At 43.3% G+C, this 20,666-nt stretch overlaps 4 annotated features.

The window, feature by feature from the left end:
- Positions 529 to 1,346: an enhancer, noted in NCBI's record as "OCT4-NANOG-H3K27ac hESC enhancer chr4:16920031-16920848 (GRCh37/hg19 assembly coordinates)". NCBI's record gives its function as "activates a minimal SCP1, AML or CMV promoter by ChIP-STARR-seq in naive H9 embryonic stem cells {active_cell/tissue: H9 hESC(naive)}" and the evidence as "EXISTENCE:reporter gene assay evidence [ECO:0000049][PMID:30033119]".
- Positions 2,897 to 2,976: a silencer, noted in NCBI's record as "silent region_15309". NCBI's record gives its function as "represses an Ori minimal core promoter by ATAC-STARR-seq in GM12878 lymphoblastoid cells {active_cell/tissue: GM12878}" and the evidence as "EXISTENCE:reporter gene assay evidence [ECO:0000049][PMID:35858748]".
- Positions 10,469 to 11,010: an enhancer, noted in NCBI's record as "OCT4-NANOG-H3K27ac-H3K4me1 hESC enhancer chr4:16910367-16910908 (GRCh37/hg19 assembly coordinates)". NCBI's record gives its function as "activates a minimal SCP1, AML or CMV promoter by ChIP-STARR-seq in primed H9 embryonic stem cells {active_cell/tissue: H9 hESC(primed)}" and the evidence as "EXISTENCE:reporter gene assay evidence [ECO:0000049][PMID:30033119]".
- Positions 11,011 to 11,552: an enhancer, noted in NCBI's record as "OCT4-NANOG-H3K27ac hESC enhancer chr4:16909825-16910366 (GRCh37/hg19 assembly coordinates)". NCBI's record gives its function as "activates a minimal SCP1, AML or CMV promoter by ChIP-STARR-seq in primed H9 embryonic stem cells {active_cell/tissue: H9 hESC(primed)}" and the evidence as "EXISTENCE:reporter gene assay evidence [ECO:0000049][PMID:30033119]".

Below are 20,666 nucleotides of genomic sequence, written 5' to 3'. Positions count from 1 at the left end.
AAGGAAAACTTGATCACCTTTTTTGTGGACTCTGATGGCTGGCTTTGATTCCTCTGCCATGCCACTGCTTCTTAAGAGGTTGTACACCCCAGGCGCAGTGGCTCACGCCTGTAATCCCAGTACTTTGGGAGACTGAGGCGGGAGGATCACGAGGTCAGGAGTTCGAGACAGCCTGGCCAACATGGTGAAACCCCGTCTCTACTAAAGACAGAAAAAAAAAATTAGCCAGGTGTGGTGGAGTGCGCCTGTAATCCCAGAAATACGGGAAGCTGAGGCCGGAGAACCGAGAACCGCTTGAACCTGGGAGGCAGAGGTTGCAGTGAGCCGAGATTGCACCATTGCCCTCCAGCCTGGGCTACAGGGCAAGACTCATCTCAAAAAAAGAAAAAAAAAAAAAAGAGGTTGTATATATTTTATACGTAAGAGTGGGCGAAAAAAGGGTTGCGGAAGGATAAAGGAAACAGTCCCTGGCAAATGTAGGTAGTCAATAAATGTTTGCTAACTGAATTAAAGAATGCATGCTAAGTTCGATCTTCTTATATTTAAATGCAATTATTTCATCTTTGTAGCAAGTAATAAAGGATTGCAAGTTTCTGGGGGTGGGGCCACTTTCACTCCTGTCCCCGTGAAGAGACCACCTAACAGGCTTTGTATGAGCAACAAGGCTGTTTATTTCATCTGGGTGCAGGCGGGCTGAGTCCGAAAAGAGAGTCAGCAAAGGGAGATGAGGTGGGGCCATATTATAGGATTTGGGTAGGTAAAGGAAAATTACAGTCAAAGGGGGTTCTCTGGCGGGCAGGGGCAAGGTGGGGAGGGGGTGTCACAAGTTGCTCAGCGGGGGAGCTTTTAAGCCAGGATGAGCCAGGAGAAGGAATTTCACAAGGTAATGTCATCAGTTAAGGCAGGAACAGGCCATTTTCACTTCTTTTGTCATTCTTCAGTTACTTCAGGCCATCTGGATGTGTACTTGCAGGTCACAGGGGATGTGATGGCTTAGCTTGGGCTCAGAGGCCTGACAGCCACTACTAAGAAATGATTGTAATTATATTATTGCCTCCACTGGCTCCACTATTGAAAGTGAAATGATGAAGGAGTTCAACAGCTCACGTATGAGGAAGTATATTTTAGGGGCCTTTTTGTGCTTCCTTTCCTCCCCACCTCTTACTCAGCTAATGATCTAATGGTAGGAAAGCAGGCAAAGGCCATAAGCAGGCAAGTTCAGAATAGAAAAATATACAGATGAATGATTGTCATGAAAATACTTAATCTCACTTATAGTCAAAGAAATGTCAGTTATTACAAAATACATAACTGTGAAATTATTGTATATGTGCATTATACATTTTGGTGGACACTGACAAATTGTCTTCCAAAAGGACAGGACCCATTCACACTCTTCCCCAGTGATTACTATGGCCATTCCTCTACTTCTCTGACAGACGTGAATTTTTTCTGTTATTAATCTAACAGAAACCAGCATTTTATGTTGATTTTCATTTTCTTGATTATAAGTGAGGTTGAATGTCTTTCCATATTCTCAGTGGTGATTTGTACTGTGTGAATTGTTGGTTTATATCTAATGTTCATTTTCTATAGGATTGTTTTCATTTTCCTATTGAGATATACATTTTAAAAAAATTAAGGCTATTAATCTTTATTCATTTATTTTGCAAATATTGCCACCAAATGTTTTATTTATCTCTTAACTTGGCTCACTGTGTTATACAAACGATAATTTCATTGCCATAATTATCAATTCTTTCTCCATTGACTTCCAGGTCTTATGCTTGACTTTGGAATATATTTCCCATAGAGATTTTTTTCCCATTGCAATATTATCAGAATATCCTTCTTTGGCTGGGCGCGGTGGCTCCCGCTTGTAATCCCAGCACTTTGGGAGGCCGAGGCGGGTGGATCACGAGGTCAGGAGATCGAGACCACGGTGAAACCCCATCTCTACTAACAATATAAAAAATTAGCCGGGCGAGGTGGCTGGCGCCTGTAATCCCAGCTACTCGGAGAGGCTGAGGCAGGAGAATGGCGTGAACCCGGGAGGCGGAGCTTGCAGTGAGCTGAGATCGCGCCACTGCACTCCAGCACTCCAGCCTGGGTGACAGAGCGAGACTCTGTCTCAAAAAAAAAAAAAAAAAAAGAATATCCTTCTTTAAATATCCTCCCCGCCTTTTTTTTTTTTTTTTTTTTTTTTTGACAGAGTTTCCTTCTTATTGTCCAGGCTGGAGTGCAATGGTGTGATCTTGGCTCACTGCAACCTCTGCCTCCCAGATTCAAGCGATTCTCCTGCCTCAGCCTCCCAGGAAGATGGGATTTCAGGCGTGCACTACCACCCTCGGCTAATTTTGTATTTTTAGTAGAGACAGAGTTTCACCACGTTGGTGAATTCCATGAAGAACTAATAAAATATGGCTGTGCAATGAAGAAAGTGGGTTTCTGTAGATTGGGTCATTAGGGAAGACTCCGATGAAGAGGTGGTGTTTAAGCTGAAACCTGAATAATGATCAGAAGGTAGGCTTAGAGTCTGGGCAAAAGAGAATCCCAGAGAGTAAAAAGCAAGTACAAAGACCTTAAAGGGAATTCTAGTTTGGCGTATTTGAAGTCAGAAGGAAGGCGGTAGAACTGGGAAGAGGAAAGACATGGACGTGCTCAGAGATGTACACAGGGTCCAATAGTGAGTGGCCTCACAGAGACTGGTAGATAGCTAGGGTTTATTCTAAGTGATAAGGAGACATTGGAGAACTTTAAACAAGGACACCCTGTGGTGTGATTTAGAATTTACATTCGTATGCTTGCCCTCCCTGAGGCTGCCACTAGAGGGAGACAGGAGGCGCTGAGGCAGTCACAACGCAAGCTCCCCAGGTACCGCCCCTGCTCAAGGGAAATCACCGTGCATTCAGGCCATTACCTGCTATAAGGGCAGGGAATGTACAGGAGGGAAACCGGCTGTTCTGACTGGGGAAAGAGGGCCGGAACTTTGTGTCGTTTTTAAAAAGGCGGGTTATCAATGGATCTGCTCATGTCATCTCTTTGATTTTGTTTGTTTTCATTGTTTGATTCTAAATAAGCAATCATACTCCAGATATGAGGGTCGGCGTGCCACTTTCTGTTGTCCATATACTGACCACACCAATCTGTAGGGCCATTGTCCCCTCCCCATTGAGTGATGATCTAGTTCCCAAAGCAGGATTCTCCGGACCAATCTCACAGCCCCCTCCCCAAAACCCACAGCCTGAATCTTGGGAAATTGTTCAATTTCACCATAACCTTAAGCAGAGTCCTATAAATAACTAAAATGTATGGCTCAAATTCTTCTGCAGTAAACACACTGGAAAGAAAAATGTGCAGTCAAACCAAGTTCCAGTAGATGAGGAGCTTATTTTTTAAACTAGGGAAACTAACACATTGAAATTCACATAAAGCAAAATAATTGGGATTGTGCCTTAGAGTTTAGCATAGCAGGGGTTGAAGGAAACAAGCTGGTATGAAGACCTCAGCAGCAAAAGAGAAACGTCTTCAACATTTTAGGCTCAGAAGAATATCTTCCTCACAAGGGAATGTGGTGTAAGATCTGGGTCACTGACCATGTTGACTACTGAAGCTTGACACATTGTGGAATTCTAAGACAACCGTGTTGCCATTTACATGGTGAATAAAAGGGATTCCAAAATTTTTAACTTGTTTGAGGAAACACACTGCTGTAATAAATACTCCAAAGGCAAAATTAATGTCATTCAGCGACTGAGAGAGCGGTGGTAACCCACTTACTCCCTGAACTAGAAAAGTAAATGACAACCGCAAGTTTTATCTTTAAATAAAGCAAATATAAATGAGTATTTTTCTGTTAAACATCACTCGAAATGTTTGTGCCAAACATAAAAAATAAGTGTGTGTATAGGATTTATACACACACTTATCTTTTATGGCACCATGTTGTGTGACTTAGAATTTACATTTGCGTAAATTTTGGACTTAAAGAAAAGTTGCAAAAATAGTACAGAGAGTTGCTGTATGCTCTTCACCAAGCTTCACCTAATGTTAACATCTTACACAGTCATGATACGTGATTTAGTTAATGCTCACCATTTATTCTATACAAGCCTTCAGTGACTGGATAATGCCCACCCACATTGGGAAAGGCCATCTGCGCTACTCAGTCCACTAACTCGAATGCTAATCTCTTCCAGAAACACTCTCACCAACACACCCAGAAATAATGCTTAATCAGATACATGGGCATTCCATGGCCGTCAAGTTGACATAGAATTAACAATCGCAAGTCCACCCCTTGTCAACTTGGCACCCACACACATCCTCTTAAATCATACTTATTCTCCAAATAAACAGAATTAAAAGGTCAAAATTCCACCAAATGTTATACAACTATCATGTGTAAAACCAGAAATGCACTAACCCCTTCCACAGAGGAGGAAATAAAGTCCTTGAGTGATGTTAACTCTTCTGCTTGATATTTTATGACTTATAAATTATGATGTAGTTAATAATATTAAATACTATATTATAAAGTCAACACATCTTATAATATGTGATAAGAAAATAAGAAAGGGAAGAAAACAACGTTTGCTTAATGCACACATACACACACACAGACATACTCGTAACAAAATAAGGAAGAAATACTCATGACAATGACAGCCTTCATTTCTGTAACTGGTCACATGGCTGTAGCCAGTGTTTATAATGACCTTTTTCCACTACCCATTCTGTATTCCTCTTGCCTTCAGCAAACACCTCAGCTGGCTGTGGTTCTTTACCTGTTGGGGTGGCCCAAACTTTCATTTATGAAGGTCCTGAGCTATTTGTAGTCCTTCCTGGATTGGGTCACTCTTCATGGACATTAATCACAGGGCATGGTGACACTAAGAGACATGCTAAGGAATCTCCTACATTCCATACATCCATAGTGGAGTAGCAGTTCAGTTTCCCCTTGGAAGTCAGGATCACTCACTCCAGGCAGTACAAAAACTCCTTTCTTTGCCTGTTGATTGATTTGGAGTCCTGAGGAGCCCTAAATGGCTGGAAGTCTTAACTTCCAGTTCAAAAGAATCATTTTTGTGTCTCCTGATGGAAGAACTTCTCCCTTTGGAACTAAGACCTCTAGGCCAGCAGAGAAGAGGTTGCAGGAACAGGAAGCAAAAATTTTGCTAGTGGGTCCCTAAAGGTAATAGTGAATGGTGACACTCTCATTTCTACCCTTTGATTCCTGGACCCATGAATCCTGGCTATAGGAGGAACAGTACTATATACTGGATGCTGACTGAGAGACTTACATAGTCTTTTAGAAAGCCTTGCCCCAGCCCTGCCTGGTACTGCCACCTAGCTGACATTGTTACTGAGTTTTCAACAGGCCATTTCACTGATCTATCAGTGCAGCTGCTAGAGGATGGTGGGGAACATGGTAAGACCAGTGAATTCCATGAACATGCACCCAGTACCACACTTTCTTCTGAAGTGAGTTCCTTGATCAGAAGAAATACTCTATAGAATGCCATGACGATGGATAAGGCATTCTGTAAGTCCATGGATGGTAATTTTGGCAGCAGCATTGCAGCAGAAAAGACATATTCATCTCCAGAGTAAGCATCTATTCCATTAAGAATGAAACACTGCCCCTTCCATGGTGGAAATTGTCCAATGTAATCAACCTGCCACAAGGTGATAAGCTGATCACCTCAAGGAATGGTGCCATATTGAGGACTCAGTGTTGGTCTCTACTGCTGGCAGATTGGGCTCCCAGCAGAGGCCATAATCAGATTGGCCTTGGTGAGTGGAAGTCCATGTTGCTGAGTCCATGCATAGCCTCCATCCCTGACACCATGGTCACTTTGTACATGAGCCTATTGGGTGAAGATAGGGTTGCCTGGGAAGAGAGGCTGACTGGTACTCACAGACTGGATCACCCTATCTACTTGATTATTAAAACCCTCATCTGCTGGGGTCACCCTTTGATGAGCATTCACGTGGAACTAACATATCTGCATGTTTTATGCCCACTCAAAGAGGTCTATCCACATATCTCTTTCCCAGATTTCCTTGTCACCAGTTTTCCAACCACGATCTCTTTAAGTCCCCGATCATCCAGCCAAACCAATAGATGCAGCCCATGAAGTGTATATAATCGCATATCTGGCTGTTACTTCTTCCTGGCAAAAAAAAAAAACCCAGATGCATTGCTTAAAATTCTGCCCACTGGAAGGATTTCCATCTACCACTGTCCTTCAGGATGCCCCAGGAAAGAGCTGTGGTGCTGCAGCTGTCCACATTCAGTGGTGCCTGCACATGATGCAGAACCATCGGTAAACCTGTTCCAAGCCTTCTCTTTCTCTGTCAACTGATTGTAGGGGACCCCCCATGAGGTCATAAGTCCAAAATGGAAAAGAGAAAGCAGTGTAGCAGAACTGGCGACCATGGCATTTGGGACACTTCATGTAAATTACTTGTGCCTTCACGACCTGCTCAGACCCCATCATGTATACACCATTTCCATTGGATAATGGAGTGTTGCTGTGCACGCCTCCATTTATAGCTTGATAGGCCAGCTAACACTCAATTCCTTGTGGTCAACTCAGGTCCCATGGTGACTTGCTGGCTCATGGTTCAGTCTCTACTAAGGCCTGGTAGCAGGCCAAGGGCTATTTCTCAAAACAAGTGTAGTTAACCACAGTGGATGGCAGGTCTTGCTTCAAAATCCCGAGGGCCTGTGCTGTGATCCACCTAATGGGCCTGCTAAAGCTCCAGACAGCATTCCTTGCCCATCTGCCACGGAGACACCAAGCACTATTGAATCTGCTGGATCGTATGGTCCAAGTGGCAGAGCAGGTTGCACAGCAGCCAAGACCTGCTGCAGAGACTTCTCTTGTTCTGTGCCCCTCAAATTAGCAGCTTTTTGGTTCACCCAGTAAATGAGTTGGACTAATGCACCCAAATGAGAAATATACTGCCTCCAAACTCCATAGAGGCCTATCAGGCATTGTGTCTCCTTTTCACTTGCAGGTGTGGGGCCAGATGCATCAAAGCGTTCTCTGCCTTAGAAGGGAAATCTCCATGTAGCCCCACAACACCAGCCTCCCCTTGAGTGAATTGAAGAGCCATGACTCTCTGATTCTATGATTCAAGTTAGACTTTTGTTCGCTCAACCTAGAATTTGCTTATATACATTAAGTAAGAATTCAGTGGGTTTCCTGTCTATTTCACTTCTAGGAACAGCATGATCAATTAGTCAGCCCCACAGGTCAGTGTGAGTCAGACTGCTCTGAGGGCTGCTTTGACTCTGCTGTGCCAGACAGTGACCACGTTCACCTGGCCTCGGGTGGTTGATGCTGCCGTGTGGACCCTGCCACCCCAGGATCCAATTACACCCATTGCATTTAGGTTTCCCAATTCAGTAACTGAAGTTCCGCTGTAAGGCCTGCGCTGTATAGAAAAACAACTGTGGGATGATTTTCCAAGGATGCTGGGGCTCCTCACATAAGTTTATTTCTCACAGTTGTGGTGGTAGGGTCTTAGGACCCTTCCAGTGTGAGTGAGTCGGTTTTAAATGGTGAATCCACCCTAACATTCCATCTCCCTAAGCTTTGAATCCCTTTTTCTACTTTATTTATTTATTTATTTATTTATTTATTTATTTATTTATTTTTTGAGACAGAGTCTCACTCTGTCACCCACGCTGGAGTGCAGTGGTGCAATCTCGGTTCACTGCAAGCTCTGCCTCCCGGGTTCACGCCATTCTCCTGCCTCAGCCTCCCGAGTAGCTGGGACTACAGGCGCCCGCCACCACGCCCGGCTAATTTTTTTTATATTTTTAGTAGAGACAGGGTTTCACTGTGTTAGCCAGGATGGTCTCGATCTCCTGACATCTTGATCTGCCCGCCTCAGCCTCCCAAAGTGCTGGGATTACAGGCGTGTGCCACCGCACCCAGCCCCTTTTTCTACTTTAAATCAAAATGGCTTTGACATTTCCAGCTCAGTTACCATGGCCCACCCTTTGGTCCATGTTCCAACCAACCAACCAAACGGCCAAACTGCTAGAGCCCTTTCTAACTCCTTGAGCTGCAGCATTAAATGCAGAATCTCTCGGTGAGTCCATACCAATAAATTCAGCCCAATCCAACTTTAAGTTTCTTCCACCATTATTCCATCCCTTACTATGCGTTCCCACACATGTTCTGGATTTCTGTCCTTGTCATTAGAAAACTCAAGTCTTTCTTTTGGAGTGCAGTGCACCTCCTCAGGGGTCACACTGTGTCCCTCAACTGTAGAGCTGCTGGGACTTACTTCTGGTTACAGGTCTAGAAGCAAACAGGAACTATGGGATGGCTCCTAAGGAGACTCAGCATTGTCCTGCACAGCAACTGCCTCAGAGAGGCCATCCAGTTTCCTTGGGAATGCGGGGTGAGGCCCTTCAACCTGCTGACCCAGTCTACCAATTCAAATGGTAGTGTCATCCAGAAACACCTGCACTGCACAGACACATTCAGAATAATGTTTGATCAACCGTCTGGGCACCCAGTGGCCCAGTCAAGTTGACACATAATATTAACCATCACCATTTCCAACACTTGCCTAGCAGATGTGATGCATTGTGGTGACAACAAATGTTTACCCATTTCAAGTGAACATATGGGCCATTGTGTCCATAGAATATTGATTGGTTTTGATATTAATTTGTCACTGATGACATATTTCGCAGCATGTTGCATGTTTTGAAAAGTTTGCTACATATTAGTAAGTGCATCCAGACCTAGTTTGTCAAGATGTGCTAAGTACACGATACTCTGTGGGTGCAAGTTTCCAGGCATAGGGCTCAGAACCTCTTACTCCAGTTAATGAATCAAAGAAAAGGTTGAATTATAGGTTAGGGAGTCAAGGAAAGCATGCTCAAGAAGTGGCATTTATGGGCCGGGTGGGATGGCTCATGCCTGTAATCCCAGCACTTTGAGAGGCCGAGGTGAGCATATCACCTGAGGTCAGGAGTTCGAGACCAGCCCAGGCCAACACAGTGAAACCCGGTCTCTACTAAAAATACAAAAATTAGCTAGGCATGGTTGGCCTATAGTCCAAGCTACTTGGGAATCGCTTGAACCCGGGAGGCGGAGGTTGCAGTGAGCTGAAATAGCGCCATTGCACTCCAGCCTGGGTGACAGAGTGAGATTGTCTCAAAAAAAAAAAAAAAAAAAAAAAAAAGAAGAAGTGGCATTTATGTCCAGTGCTGAAGGATGAATTCCAGGGAATTCTTTGCCCTGTTGTTTATGATTGTGAAAAATTAAAAAACACTCAAAGATTTGTCAGCTACAGTGCTTTGCATCCATACGGTGGGTTTCCTTCCACTAGCTCCCAGTGGAGGCATGGTGGCTGGAGAACTCAGCCCATGCACAAAGAGATGAGCTGCTAGATCCTTCTGTACAGCCTCTACAGTGGAGAAAATCAGAGCAGAAAATCAGGTGCATTTCACATTTTTCTTCACACTTTGAAGTATTGCATGAGTTTTCTTCATGAATGTGTATCATGCTCATCAACATAAAAATGAAATCAAAATTAAAAATTACTGGTGGGACTATATCCACAGAACTCATTTATAGGGCAATTTGGCAATATGTAACAAAAGGTTTACAAAGTACATGCCCCTTGCCTTAAAATGGTTTTACTTTTAGAGTTTTGATGTGGACACATATGGATATACAAAGAGATATAAGGATATTTATCAAGGATTGCTGTATTAGAGAAAAATTGGAAATAATGCAAATATCAACAGCAGGGGACATTGAGATCAGTTAAGGTCCATTCCCAGAAGGAAATCCTCCGTGGCTCTCAGAAATGATGTGTAGAAAACTATGAATGAGAATTCACTTGGGAAACAAAGCAGATAAAAGCAAAAAGTGGACTGATAAAAGCAGTGAGTAAATGCTAAGTCCCTTGCAAACAGGAGCGACAGTAAGTGCAGTTTTCAGGAACACAGTCGTTTCTCCAAGTTACCTCAGCTATTAAATACTTCAAAGGCGATGGCAAATGACAGGGGAAACCTGTTTGGTTCTGGAAAATGTACCATTCTGTACAGTTATTTTCAAAATAAATTGTTTGATCTTGGATTAGGGTAGAGCTTTTATGAAAGAAAAACATACATGTGCTTCAGATGTCAGTCTCAGTAATAAAGGGACTCAAAAGTCAATTCCACGAAGGCGCAGGCTTGGGGATTCCTTTGTCAGAGAACGATTGTCTAGGTCCAAGTCGCGCAGAGGAAGTTTGTCCTTGGCAGGCTGTGTGAGGCTGTGCAGCACACTGTCTTTCTCCAGCCTCCAGGGTGTCCGGAGGCATCCTGGTGTCAGCCGCCAATCCAAAAGTTGTCTCTCAAAGCTCCAGGGGAGGGAAAGAGAGGCAGGAGGCACATGGCTGAAATCAGGATGAGTGACAGCAGTTCTGGCAGATCGGGCAGGAAAATGGCTCAAAGTTAGTTCTGATAAAACAGAGCACGAAGAGAAAATCATACCACAGATAATAATTTTTAGTAAGTTAGAACACAATTTTTAAAAGGCTGCCATTTATTCATTTGTAAATATTTGCCACCCATTCTGGGACAAGCACAGTTTAGTGGTACGGCAGTGTGTGTGTGTGCGTGTGTGTGTGTGGGGGGGGCGGGGAGAGAGAGAAAGAGAGAGAGAGAGAGAGAGAGAGATTTGGAGGGAGGGTTCATATAAAGATTAATATGTACCTAAATAGAAGAAGGAGGACTCTATTCCTGTTTGATAGCTCCCTGTGCTTGGAGGAAAACTTAGCTAACTCAGCAGGGGTGGTGTGAGGATCCAATGATATAATTTTTTGTGAGTTACCAGACCTTACATTTGCATGACAATTAGTAGGCAATCAGTAAATGACATTAGTATTGTTATTGTTATTACCCTTGTTAGTAAAGGAAAAGAAAACAGGTGGGTCTCCTTGCAGTCTCTTCTGTTTTGAGCCAAGTCAGCCTCTTTGTGGTTGGGTAGCAGAGGCTTTGCATGCAGAACCCATATCCATTCTCTATTAGTTTGCTAAGGTTGCTGTAACAAAGTACCACAAACTGAGTGGCTTCAATAATCAGAAATGTATTCGCTTACAGTTCTAGAGGCTAGAGGTCCAAGATCAAGGTCTCGGCAGCCCATGCCCCCTCTGAAGGCTCTAAGGAAGACTTCATTCCTGCCTCTTCCCAGCTTCGGGTGGTTTCTGGCTGTCCTTGGTGTTCCTTGGCTTGTAGCTGCATCGCTCTAGCTTCTGCTTCCCTCTTCATGTGTGTATCTGTGTGTCTGTGTCTCTCCTTGTAAGAACGTTAGTCATCAGATTTATGGCTCGCCCTAATCCAGTATGACTTCATCTTAATTTGATTACATCCACAAAGACCCTATTTACAAATAATCTCACATTCACAGGTACTAAAGGTTAGGACTTGAATGTATATTTTGTGGGTGGCTATACCTATAAATGCACTCACCTTCTGGTAACAGAACCCTGCCATTTTGTTGGGTCCCTGGATTTAGGGGGGCCAACCTGCCCCGGGCTGGGGGAGTGGGCATGTGACCCAGGACTGGCCACTCTCTTGGCTGCAGAGATTGGTTTTTATGTCCGAATCAGGCAATGAGACACAAAACTGGGATTTTTGTTGGAACTCTTGGAAAAGAAACCTCTCTTTCTGCTGGGCTAAAGTGGGAGAATATGAACCCAGCCTTACCCACGGTCACCACATGGGCAGAGTCTACCAGCAAGTGAGGAAAGCCTGCCTACAGGGGCGGCCACAGGTTCCAAGTCCTGGAGATGTAGTTTGGGCCCCTGGATCCTACTGAACCTGAACTCAAATGCTTCTGACTTTTCCAATTAGATAAGCAAATAAATTCACTTTTTTTTCTTTTTTACTTAAGACATTTGGAGTGTTTTTTTTTTCTACAAGCAGAAGAATCTTGAATGATACTCTGTCTTCATTCTCTCATTTATATTTTTCTTATTTCATGAAAAACATGTGTCACCTGCCCTCAAGCAGCTCACAATTGAGTGTGGAGATGAACAGAGACTGTGGACCCTCCGAGAGCATCAACAAGGGGAGCCAGACGCCCCTCATTCCACTCCCATTCCACCAGCTACTATCTGTGAGACCCACAGCAAGTTGCTCAGACTCTCTGAGCATCTGTTTCCTCACCTAGAGAGTGGGAACAAAATAGTCTTTTTCTTATGGGATTGTGTTAAGGATTCAATGAATCAATATTTATAAAATGCTTGGAACAATGCTTGACACTTCGTAACAGCTATTGGCTATTAGGGGCAGAAAATATTCCTCAATTCGCATAACAGCCCTATGAAGTTAGTGCTATTATCTGCATCTTGCAAGTACGGAAACTCAAGCTAACTGCAGTGATATGACTTAACCCAATTGTCACACTGAGAAAGGTTCAAAGCTGGATAGAGAATACAGCGTCCTTGACACTTGGCTGCATGGTCTTCCATAGGTCAGAAGTGGATCACAGAAGTCTCAATAGCAGCTCTGAGGTCTTCTGGATATGAAATAATTAATGATGACAAAGGGCTTTCTAGGGAATTGGTTCCTGGAAAGGGAGCCTCTCAAGTTATCAAATTTGCCCAGTTTGGTTTTCCCAGTACCTGACTTGTAGTAAGTACCCAATTGCATTAATAAATGAACAAAAATAGCCTTTATACATCACTATTATATGAATAGCTCAGCCTGGAATTAAGAGATATAATTTGCCAGGACAGCTCCAGGGATGCATTCAGATATTTCACCTATTTATTTTCAAAAAATATACTGAGTTCCTGCATGTGCCAAACCTTATGTGAAATTCTGAGTGTACAGAATTTTTTATACATTGGTGTATAAAACCAGCACATTGTCAGCCCTTGTGGAATTTATAATCTCAGAGGAAACACAGGCACAGGCAATATACAAGTAAATAACAAATACAGATGTAATTACAGATGGTGATCAGTGTCAGAGACCTAACAAACAGAATTCAGTGAGAGAAAGTAATGGAGCATGGATAAATTATTTATATAACTTGGTCATGGATGGCCTCTTTGAACAGGTAACATCTTGAGCTGAGAAGGAGCTAGCCATGCTAAGGCCAAGAGAGGAGTGTCCTACAATCTAGAAGAAAGAATCTGACATATATTGGGAATGAAGTAGAAGTGTCATGGCAGGTGGTGTTGGCTGGGTGAATACAGGCACAGATGTGGTTGGAAAGGCAGGAGGTCAGAGAGGATCTGATCCCACAGAGTCCAAAAGAGGAGGGCCCAGCACATTGCAGGTACTCAGGGATGACCTGTTTAATAATTAAATGAACATTAAGTGGTCCATGCTATGAGGTTGGATTTCACTGTTGATACTCTTGAAATAAGCTGTTCTCAATGGCTATGGCCTTTCTTAGTCATTATAATTTCTAATTACATTTGGCTTAGTCAAGAAGACATTAGAGCTGGGCGTGGTGGCTCATGCCAGTAATCCCAGCATTTTGTGAGGCCAAGGCAGGCGGATCGCCTGAGGTCAGGAGTTCGAGACCAGCCTGGCCAACATGGTGAAACCCCGTCTCCACTAAAAATACAAAAATTAGCGGGGCATGGTGGTGCACACCTGTAATCCCAGCTACTTGGGAGGCTGAGGCAGGAGAATCGCTTGAACCTAGGAGGCAGAGGTTGCAGTGAGCCAAGAGCGCACCATTGCACTCCAGCCTGGGCAACAGAGTGAGACCCCACCTCAAAAAAAAAAAAAAAAAAAAAAGAAAAGAAAAAGGACATTAGAGAATGACAGCAAACACCTCAATAAAGGAAATCCAAGACAATTCTAAGACTGCAGGGTAGAGACAGATTTCCAAGCTCTTTGATGTACTCAGCAATGCCCTTCTCAACTCTGAATTCAATTTATAAACTTTGAAAGCCTGGACAATGACTACTGGTGCTGTTTAGAAGATGACCTTGAAGTTCCACAAAGTCATAAAAGATCTTAATTCTAGGTGGTAGCCAAGAACAATGAGAGCTTTTTCAATATCTGTTCTGGGTCTTCTGTTTCATGTGCTCTGAGAGAATTTTCTGAACAGATGTATGCTGGGGACTTTGTTGACCAAAATCAACTTCCCAAAGCATAGTTAAGTTCTTGAGTCGCTCTGAATCTAATTTATCCTCCTTGTATTAGCAAGTCATCTTGCTTGAGCAAACCACTTATTGGCTTCCCAGTGCCCAGGCGATAAACTGCAAATTCCTTCAGATGGCACTTTCAGGTCTCCTGGAATTGAACTTCATCATCTTTTTACTATCTCTGCCTTCACCAAGTTGTTTGACTTTGCTTGATGTCAAATATGTTCATTTCCATGGTGTCCGCTTTGCTTGGCGTGAACTTTCTCAAACTTTCATCTTAGTCTTGGGACTGATCCTATGAGGCTAAATACAAATGCCAACTCCTCTGTGAAGCCTTCCTTGATTTCACTAGTTTGAATGAATCCCTCCTTATTTCAAGGCTCTTTGTAAATTAGCATTTTGTTTATTAATATGGAGATGCCTATCATATTATGCCTTAGACCTTTTTTTTTTTTGGCCGCTTCTCTACTGCTCATGCCTCCTCCTTATCCCAGCCTGCCTTCTATACTTCACAGTGTCACTTTACATGTGCTTCTGATATTGGTTAATGCCCGTTGCCTCTTCTAATAATAACTAATAATTATGAGGACTTACTAAATGCCAGGCACTGTTCTAATCAACATATATGCATTAGCTTGTTTTATCCTCATAGGAATCATAGGGTTGCTATTAACTCCACTTTACAGATGAGATGAGAAAACTGAGGCAGAGACAGATGAAATGCCAACGTCATACAGCTAAATGCAGGAGTCACGATTCAAGCCAAGGCGGTGAGGCTCCAAAGCCCATCGCTGACAACATTATTCTAGACCACCTCTCTCCTGGAGTAAGGGATTAGTTCTGTGTTTCCTTCGGTTTGGTTGTTGGAGCAATATTACCAGCACTTGGCATGGTGCTTAGTACATAGTAGGGGCTCAATATATACCTTGTTGAATGAAAGAAGCATAGTTTTGCATGTCTGCTAAGTTGCCTGAAGGCAGACACTAGATGGCAAGGGGCAGGAAGGCAGGTAGCCTGTGTGCCACATCACCTTGGCCTCCCAATGATCCCTAGCACCTAAGCAGATGCTGGGTACCTAATAATCATGTTATTATTTGAGCATTTAGATGTGAGGGTTCTAATGCTGTCAGATGTATTTGCTAATCCTTAGCAACAATCTTATAGACTAGTTTTTATCATTGTCCCCATCTTGCAATGAGATGACTGAGGTGCAGAGAGACTGAGTCATTTGCTCAGGTTCACGTGACAACTAAGTGGTGGCACCAGGGTTGAAATCTGCCACGCCTTCTATGTTTTCATTTATCTGTATTCCTCACCACATCTCAGCTCTACCTTGCCTTTACCTATTAGTGAAATGCTTATTGACTGAAGAAGCAGGTTGTATAGGGCACAGTAATAGGTAAGGAAGGGTTGGGCGAGGTGGCTCACGCCTGTAATCCTAGCTTTTTGGGAGGCCAAGGTGGGTAGATCACCTGAGGTCAGGAGTTCAAGACCAGCCTGGCCAACATGGTGAAACCCTGTCTCTACTAAAAATACAAAAATTAGCCAGGCATGGTCGTGGGCGCCTATAATCCCAGCTACCTGGGAGGCTGAGGCAGGAGAATCGCTTGAACCCAGGAGGTGGAGGTTGCAGTGAGCCAAGATTGCACCACTGTACTCCAGCCTGGGCAACAGAGCAAAAACTCCATAAAAAAAAAAAAAAAAAAAGAAAGAAAGAGGTAAGGAATGGTAGAGAAAGGGAATTGAAGAGTGGTAAGAAAGCTGGCTGTCTGAAGCAAACAGTGCTTGGTTGAAGGATTTGGAAAGGATGCAATTGATAGATTAAGAAAAAGGACAATGTTTCAAATACTTGGAAGAACCAGGCAGGTAAATGGAAATTAGGGACATTGGAGGGGACGGCTGTAGAGTGACAGAGACCATGGTGAACGGGCAAGCACAAAGAGGCTGGCCCCACTGCACACTGCCATGCAGCAGGGATGGGGCCAAGGGTGGTCAGAGCTTATAATTTTTCAGAGAAGATGAAAATCTGGATTGTATGTGAAATTCTTCACTTTTTAAACTGTGGGTAAGTATTTCCACTTAAAGGAACAATAATCATTCTCTGGGTTAAACCTAAGGTGAATGCAGCTAAATTAGGTCCCGAGTGTAAAGGGCAGGCCAGCTTTTAGAGCACCCTGAACGTCTGCATGAGGACTTTGGGAACTCATTCATACTCAATACACAAAATGATGCGTAAACGAGCATGGCTTAATCTTTGGGGGTAATAGAACTGTTGTGTTGGGGGTTAGACTTGTTTATTCTTTGCTAGGGTACAAATACTGCATACTTGCAATTCTCTATGGTTTTCTGAAGGAGTTGATTTACAATCTTAAAATAAGCACTTTGTTTTCTTCACTTCTTAGCTCATCCTTGACCCAGAAGACCAGTCATAGCTGATCCTTCAAGAAGCAAGAAAGAAGACAAACAGATGAACGACAAAGACAACCCGGTAACCTGGCGGTGCAAAGGATTCAACTCCTAGCTTGTGGATTTAGGAATCTATGCTGGGAGATCTGGGACAATAACAAAGATGGGAGTGGTGATTTGCAGGGCAGGGCTTCAGGGACAGGGGTCGGAGCGAGGCAGGGGGCATTGAGTGTCTGAAACTAAGCAAGACAACGAAGAATAAAATCCAAGTGAGGGGAGCCACTTTATCCTTTGCTTCTTCTTCCATTTAGTCAGGTCCATGTGTCTTGAGCATCTACTATGGGCTCAGCACCACGCTGGCCACCGGGGACAAAGAACAGAAATGCCCTTGAGATGAGGATGGACCTGACCTCTGAGCAGCAAAATGCTTAAGTCAAGCAGTCAGGCAAACTGGCTGTGAATTTTGTCTCTGTCACTTATTCATTGCATGACTTCAAAGAACTTTCTTAGCCTCTCATAGCCTCAGTTTCCCATTGGGTAAAATGGGAATAGTAATCAAATCAATTCCATAGATTTATTGCAAGATAAACTAAGAGTGATTGTGTAGACCACTCAGTACAGTGGCTGGCACATAGCAAGTACTGAACAAGTGACAGTATTTGTTCCTTTTATGTATTAATATAAGTCCTCTAATAGAAGAATATAGAAACTACACTACACTGACGACACCAAGGGGGAGGATGAATTTTTTTTTTTTTTTTTGAGATGGAGTCTCACTCTGTTGCCCAGGCTGGAGCACAGTGGTGCGATCTCAGCTCACTGCAACCTCCACCTCCCGGGTTCACATGATTCTTCTGCCTCAGCCTCCTGAGTAGCTGGGATTACAGGCATCTGCCACTACACGTGGTTAATATTTTGTATTTTTAGTAGAGATGGGGTTTCACTATGTTGGCCAGGCTGGTCTCAAACTCCTGACCTCCTGATTCACCTGCCTCGGCCTCCCAAAGTGCTGGGATTACAGGCGTGAGCCACCGCACAGAGCTTGCACTATAGTTTAAAATTATGTTCCCAAATATTTACTAGCTCTTCTACACTGTCTTTCCCTTGCCCTCACTAGATGGCAAGGGGCAGGAAGGCAGGTAGCCTGTGTGCTATGTCACCTTGGCCTCCCAATGATCCCTAGAACCTAAGCAGATATCAGGTACCTAATAATCATGTTATTATTATTATTTTTATTATTATTTGAGACAGGGTCTTGCTCTGTTGCCCGGGATGGTGTGCAGTGGTGAGATCTCGGCTCACTGCAACCTCCACTTCCCAGGTTCAAGCGATTCTCCTGCCTCAGCCTCCTGAGTAGCTGGGATTACACGCACCCACTACCATGTCCAGCTAGTTTTTCTTTTCCTTTTTTTTTTTTTTTTTTTTTTTTGGAGACGGAGTCTCGGTCTGTCACCCAGGCTGGAGTGCAATTGCACGATCTCGGCTCAATGCAACCTCCATCTCCCAGGTTCAAGGAGTTCTCCTGCCTCAGCCACCTGAGTAGCTGGTCAGGCACGTGCCACCACACCCGGCTAATTTTTGTATTTTTAGTAGAGACAGGGTTTCACCATGTTGGTCAGGCTGGTCTCAAACTCCTAACCTCGTGATCCGCCCGCCTCGGCCTCCCAAAGTGCTGGGATTACAGGCGTGAGCCACTGCACCCGGCCTATCATGTTATTATTTGAGCGTTTAGATGACAGGGTTCTAATGCATTTGGATGTATTTGCTAATCCTTAGCAACAATCTTATAGACTAGTTTCTATCATTGTCCTCATCTTGCAATGAGATAACTGAGGTGCAGAGAGACTGAGTCCTTTGCTCAGGTTCACGCGACAACTAGATGGTGGAGCTAGGGTTGAAACGTGCTCTGGCCCTGCTGTTGGCTCTGCCTCTATCCACTGTGAATGGAATATTTGTTGAATAAATAAACAAATGAATGTGTAATTTAAAAAGATTTATGGAGGAGACAATTTAATTTAATAGAAGGATAAGTAGCAGTTTGTAGGTAAACTAGGGCCAGAAGTACAAATGTGGCCATGCATAAGAAAGATTGCAAGTTTAGGAAGATCAAGTATAGCAAATAAATAAATGAATGAACACACAAATGAGTAAATGAATGAGTGTGTGTGAGTGTGTGTGTGTATGTGACAGAGGGAGAAAGAGACAGCACAGAAGTGCGGGTCTTACCGAGCCCTGTATGCCATGTTCCTAAGGAACTTGCACGTTTTCCTTCTGGCAGCAGGGAAACACTGAGGGGGAAAACATGGGACATGATCGCTTTCACTTATCTGAAATCCACATTCTCATTTGAATAAGGACAGACCACAAGTTAGAAGAGGACTGTGAATCTGTGGGCAGGGGGACCAGTTCGGAGACTCCTGAAATAACGGGGATGAGAATCAGGGATATGGATCAGCATTATCAAGTTTCAGATAGTTCTGAAATGAGAGTCTTTCACTATTAATGGCAAGAAATATTTCCAATTATAATTGGCAATGGTCTGCAGAAACAAATGAGAGCAAACCAGAACCTTATTCAGAGAGGGATTCCCTTCCTAAATGGATTTTTGAACTGTTTCATTTTTTTTTGTTACTATTGGCCTGCACAGGCCTGCCTAGGTGTTACTTTCATTCTTGCACTGAAATGGTCACATTAACACAAACTCAGGCAGACACTAAACTTTCAGAATGTCTTTAGTTTGAGAGTTTAAACATAAGGAACCATTAGGTTTTGCAGTGGCTGCCATACCAAAACGTAAATCATGCCAAAATTGTTTGAAATCCTGTCTTTAGAAGGTTGTGTGTTTTGACAAACCTTGCAGCAAATTTGGTCCAGCTTTCGGATTTGTAATGAAACCTGAAACCAAGCATTCTCGCCTGCCTTGGGGTCTCCTAGCGCAAGTTCCAAGCAGCCTTAGTGTAATACCTACCCTAATCTCATCCTGGGAAGCGACATTAGTGTGTTAGGCTGCGCTGCTGGAAGTTTGGGGTGGACTCAGCAAATATTTCATGCAATTATGAAGAAGGACTGATCAAGACAGCAATACACTTTTCTGTGTCTGAGTATTTTTAAGAGTGTAAATTGCAGAATTAGCAATACTCTATCCCCTGTTGGCTAGTGACTTGGAGATACCCAAGCCATGATTGGGGCAGAAAGTTAATTAATCTGCTTATTAAAAAGAAGAAATGTCTCATTTGCATGCATTTGCATTCAGGTCTTGAATTCATTATGCTTTTTGGTGGTCCTTTGCTTTATTTCCTTAATACCACTGACCTACCTAGGTGTTAGCTCAATACATTTAAATTTTGTGTGGCTGGGCTTTGTTTAAGTGTCGTATCTCTGGTTATAGTGGGTTCTAGCAGAATTTGATTATTTTATAGATTGTTTAATTCTCTATAGAGATTTTCCCCTTCCATGGGCTGTTGGGATTTCTTATGGTTATCATATACCACAGTTGGGAAAATATTTGTTTACTTGACCAATCTTGGAAAATACAGACTTTGTCTCCATAAGAGTTGGACATGTTATCTGGGGATGATCCATTCAATTATTTGCAATTTCCTTCTCAACCAAATTTTCCGTGGTCATTTTTGTGGCAGTTTTCTCCTTCTTTGCTTTTCCTGTCTTATTGGGAGGTCTGTTTGGGTTTTTTGTTTGTTTGTTTGTTTGTTTTTCCTTCCTGGGAAAAAAGACCATTGCTCTCCTTAAGTGTATTTTATACCTTCCACATTCAGAACGACTGTTTTTACCTGAAAATGCCCAGGCACCTTAAGGGCCTGAATGAAGTCTTTGGAGAAGAGGGAGGTGGCTGGGAAGAGGGGTGAGTGGGGAGAGATGGGAGTGAGATGGAGTGGAGGGCAAAGAATATAACAGCCCTTGGAACAACAGCAAGTAAAGCAAAACTACATAGGGAGATTAGTGCTGAAATAAATCTCTGCATGTGAGTGAATCACCGGTCCCAATTCGGGGCACCACAGTGCCCGTGTTTCTGTATTTTGTAGTAATCAACATTTCTGATACATTACAACAGTGTGGTTGTCAGGGGTGAGCGGCTCATGTAGCGGTTAGACCACCTCTATGCTAAC

Source organism: Homo sapiens, chromosome 4, assembly GCF_000001405.40.
Source record: "Homo sapiens chromosome 4, GRCh38.p14 Primary Assembly".
Lineage (NCBI taxonomy): Eukaryota > Metazoa > Chordata > Mammalia > Primates > Hominidae > Homo > Homo sapiens.
This window is presented reverse-complemented; position numbering and strand designations above follow the sequence as displayed.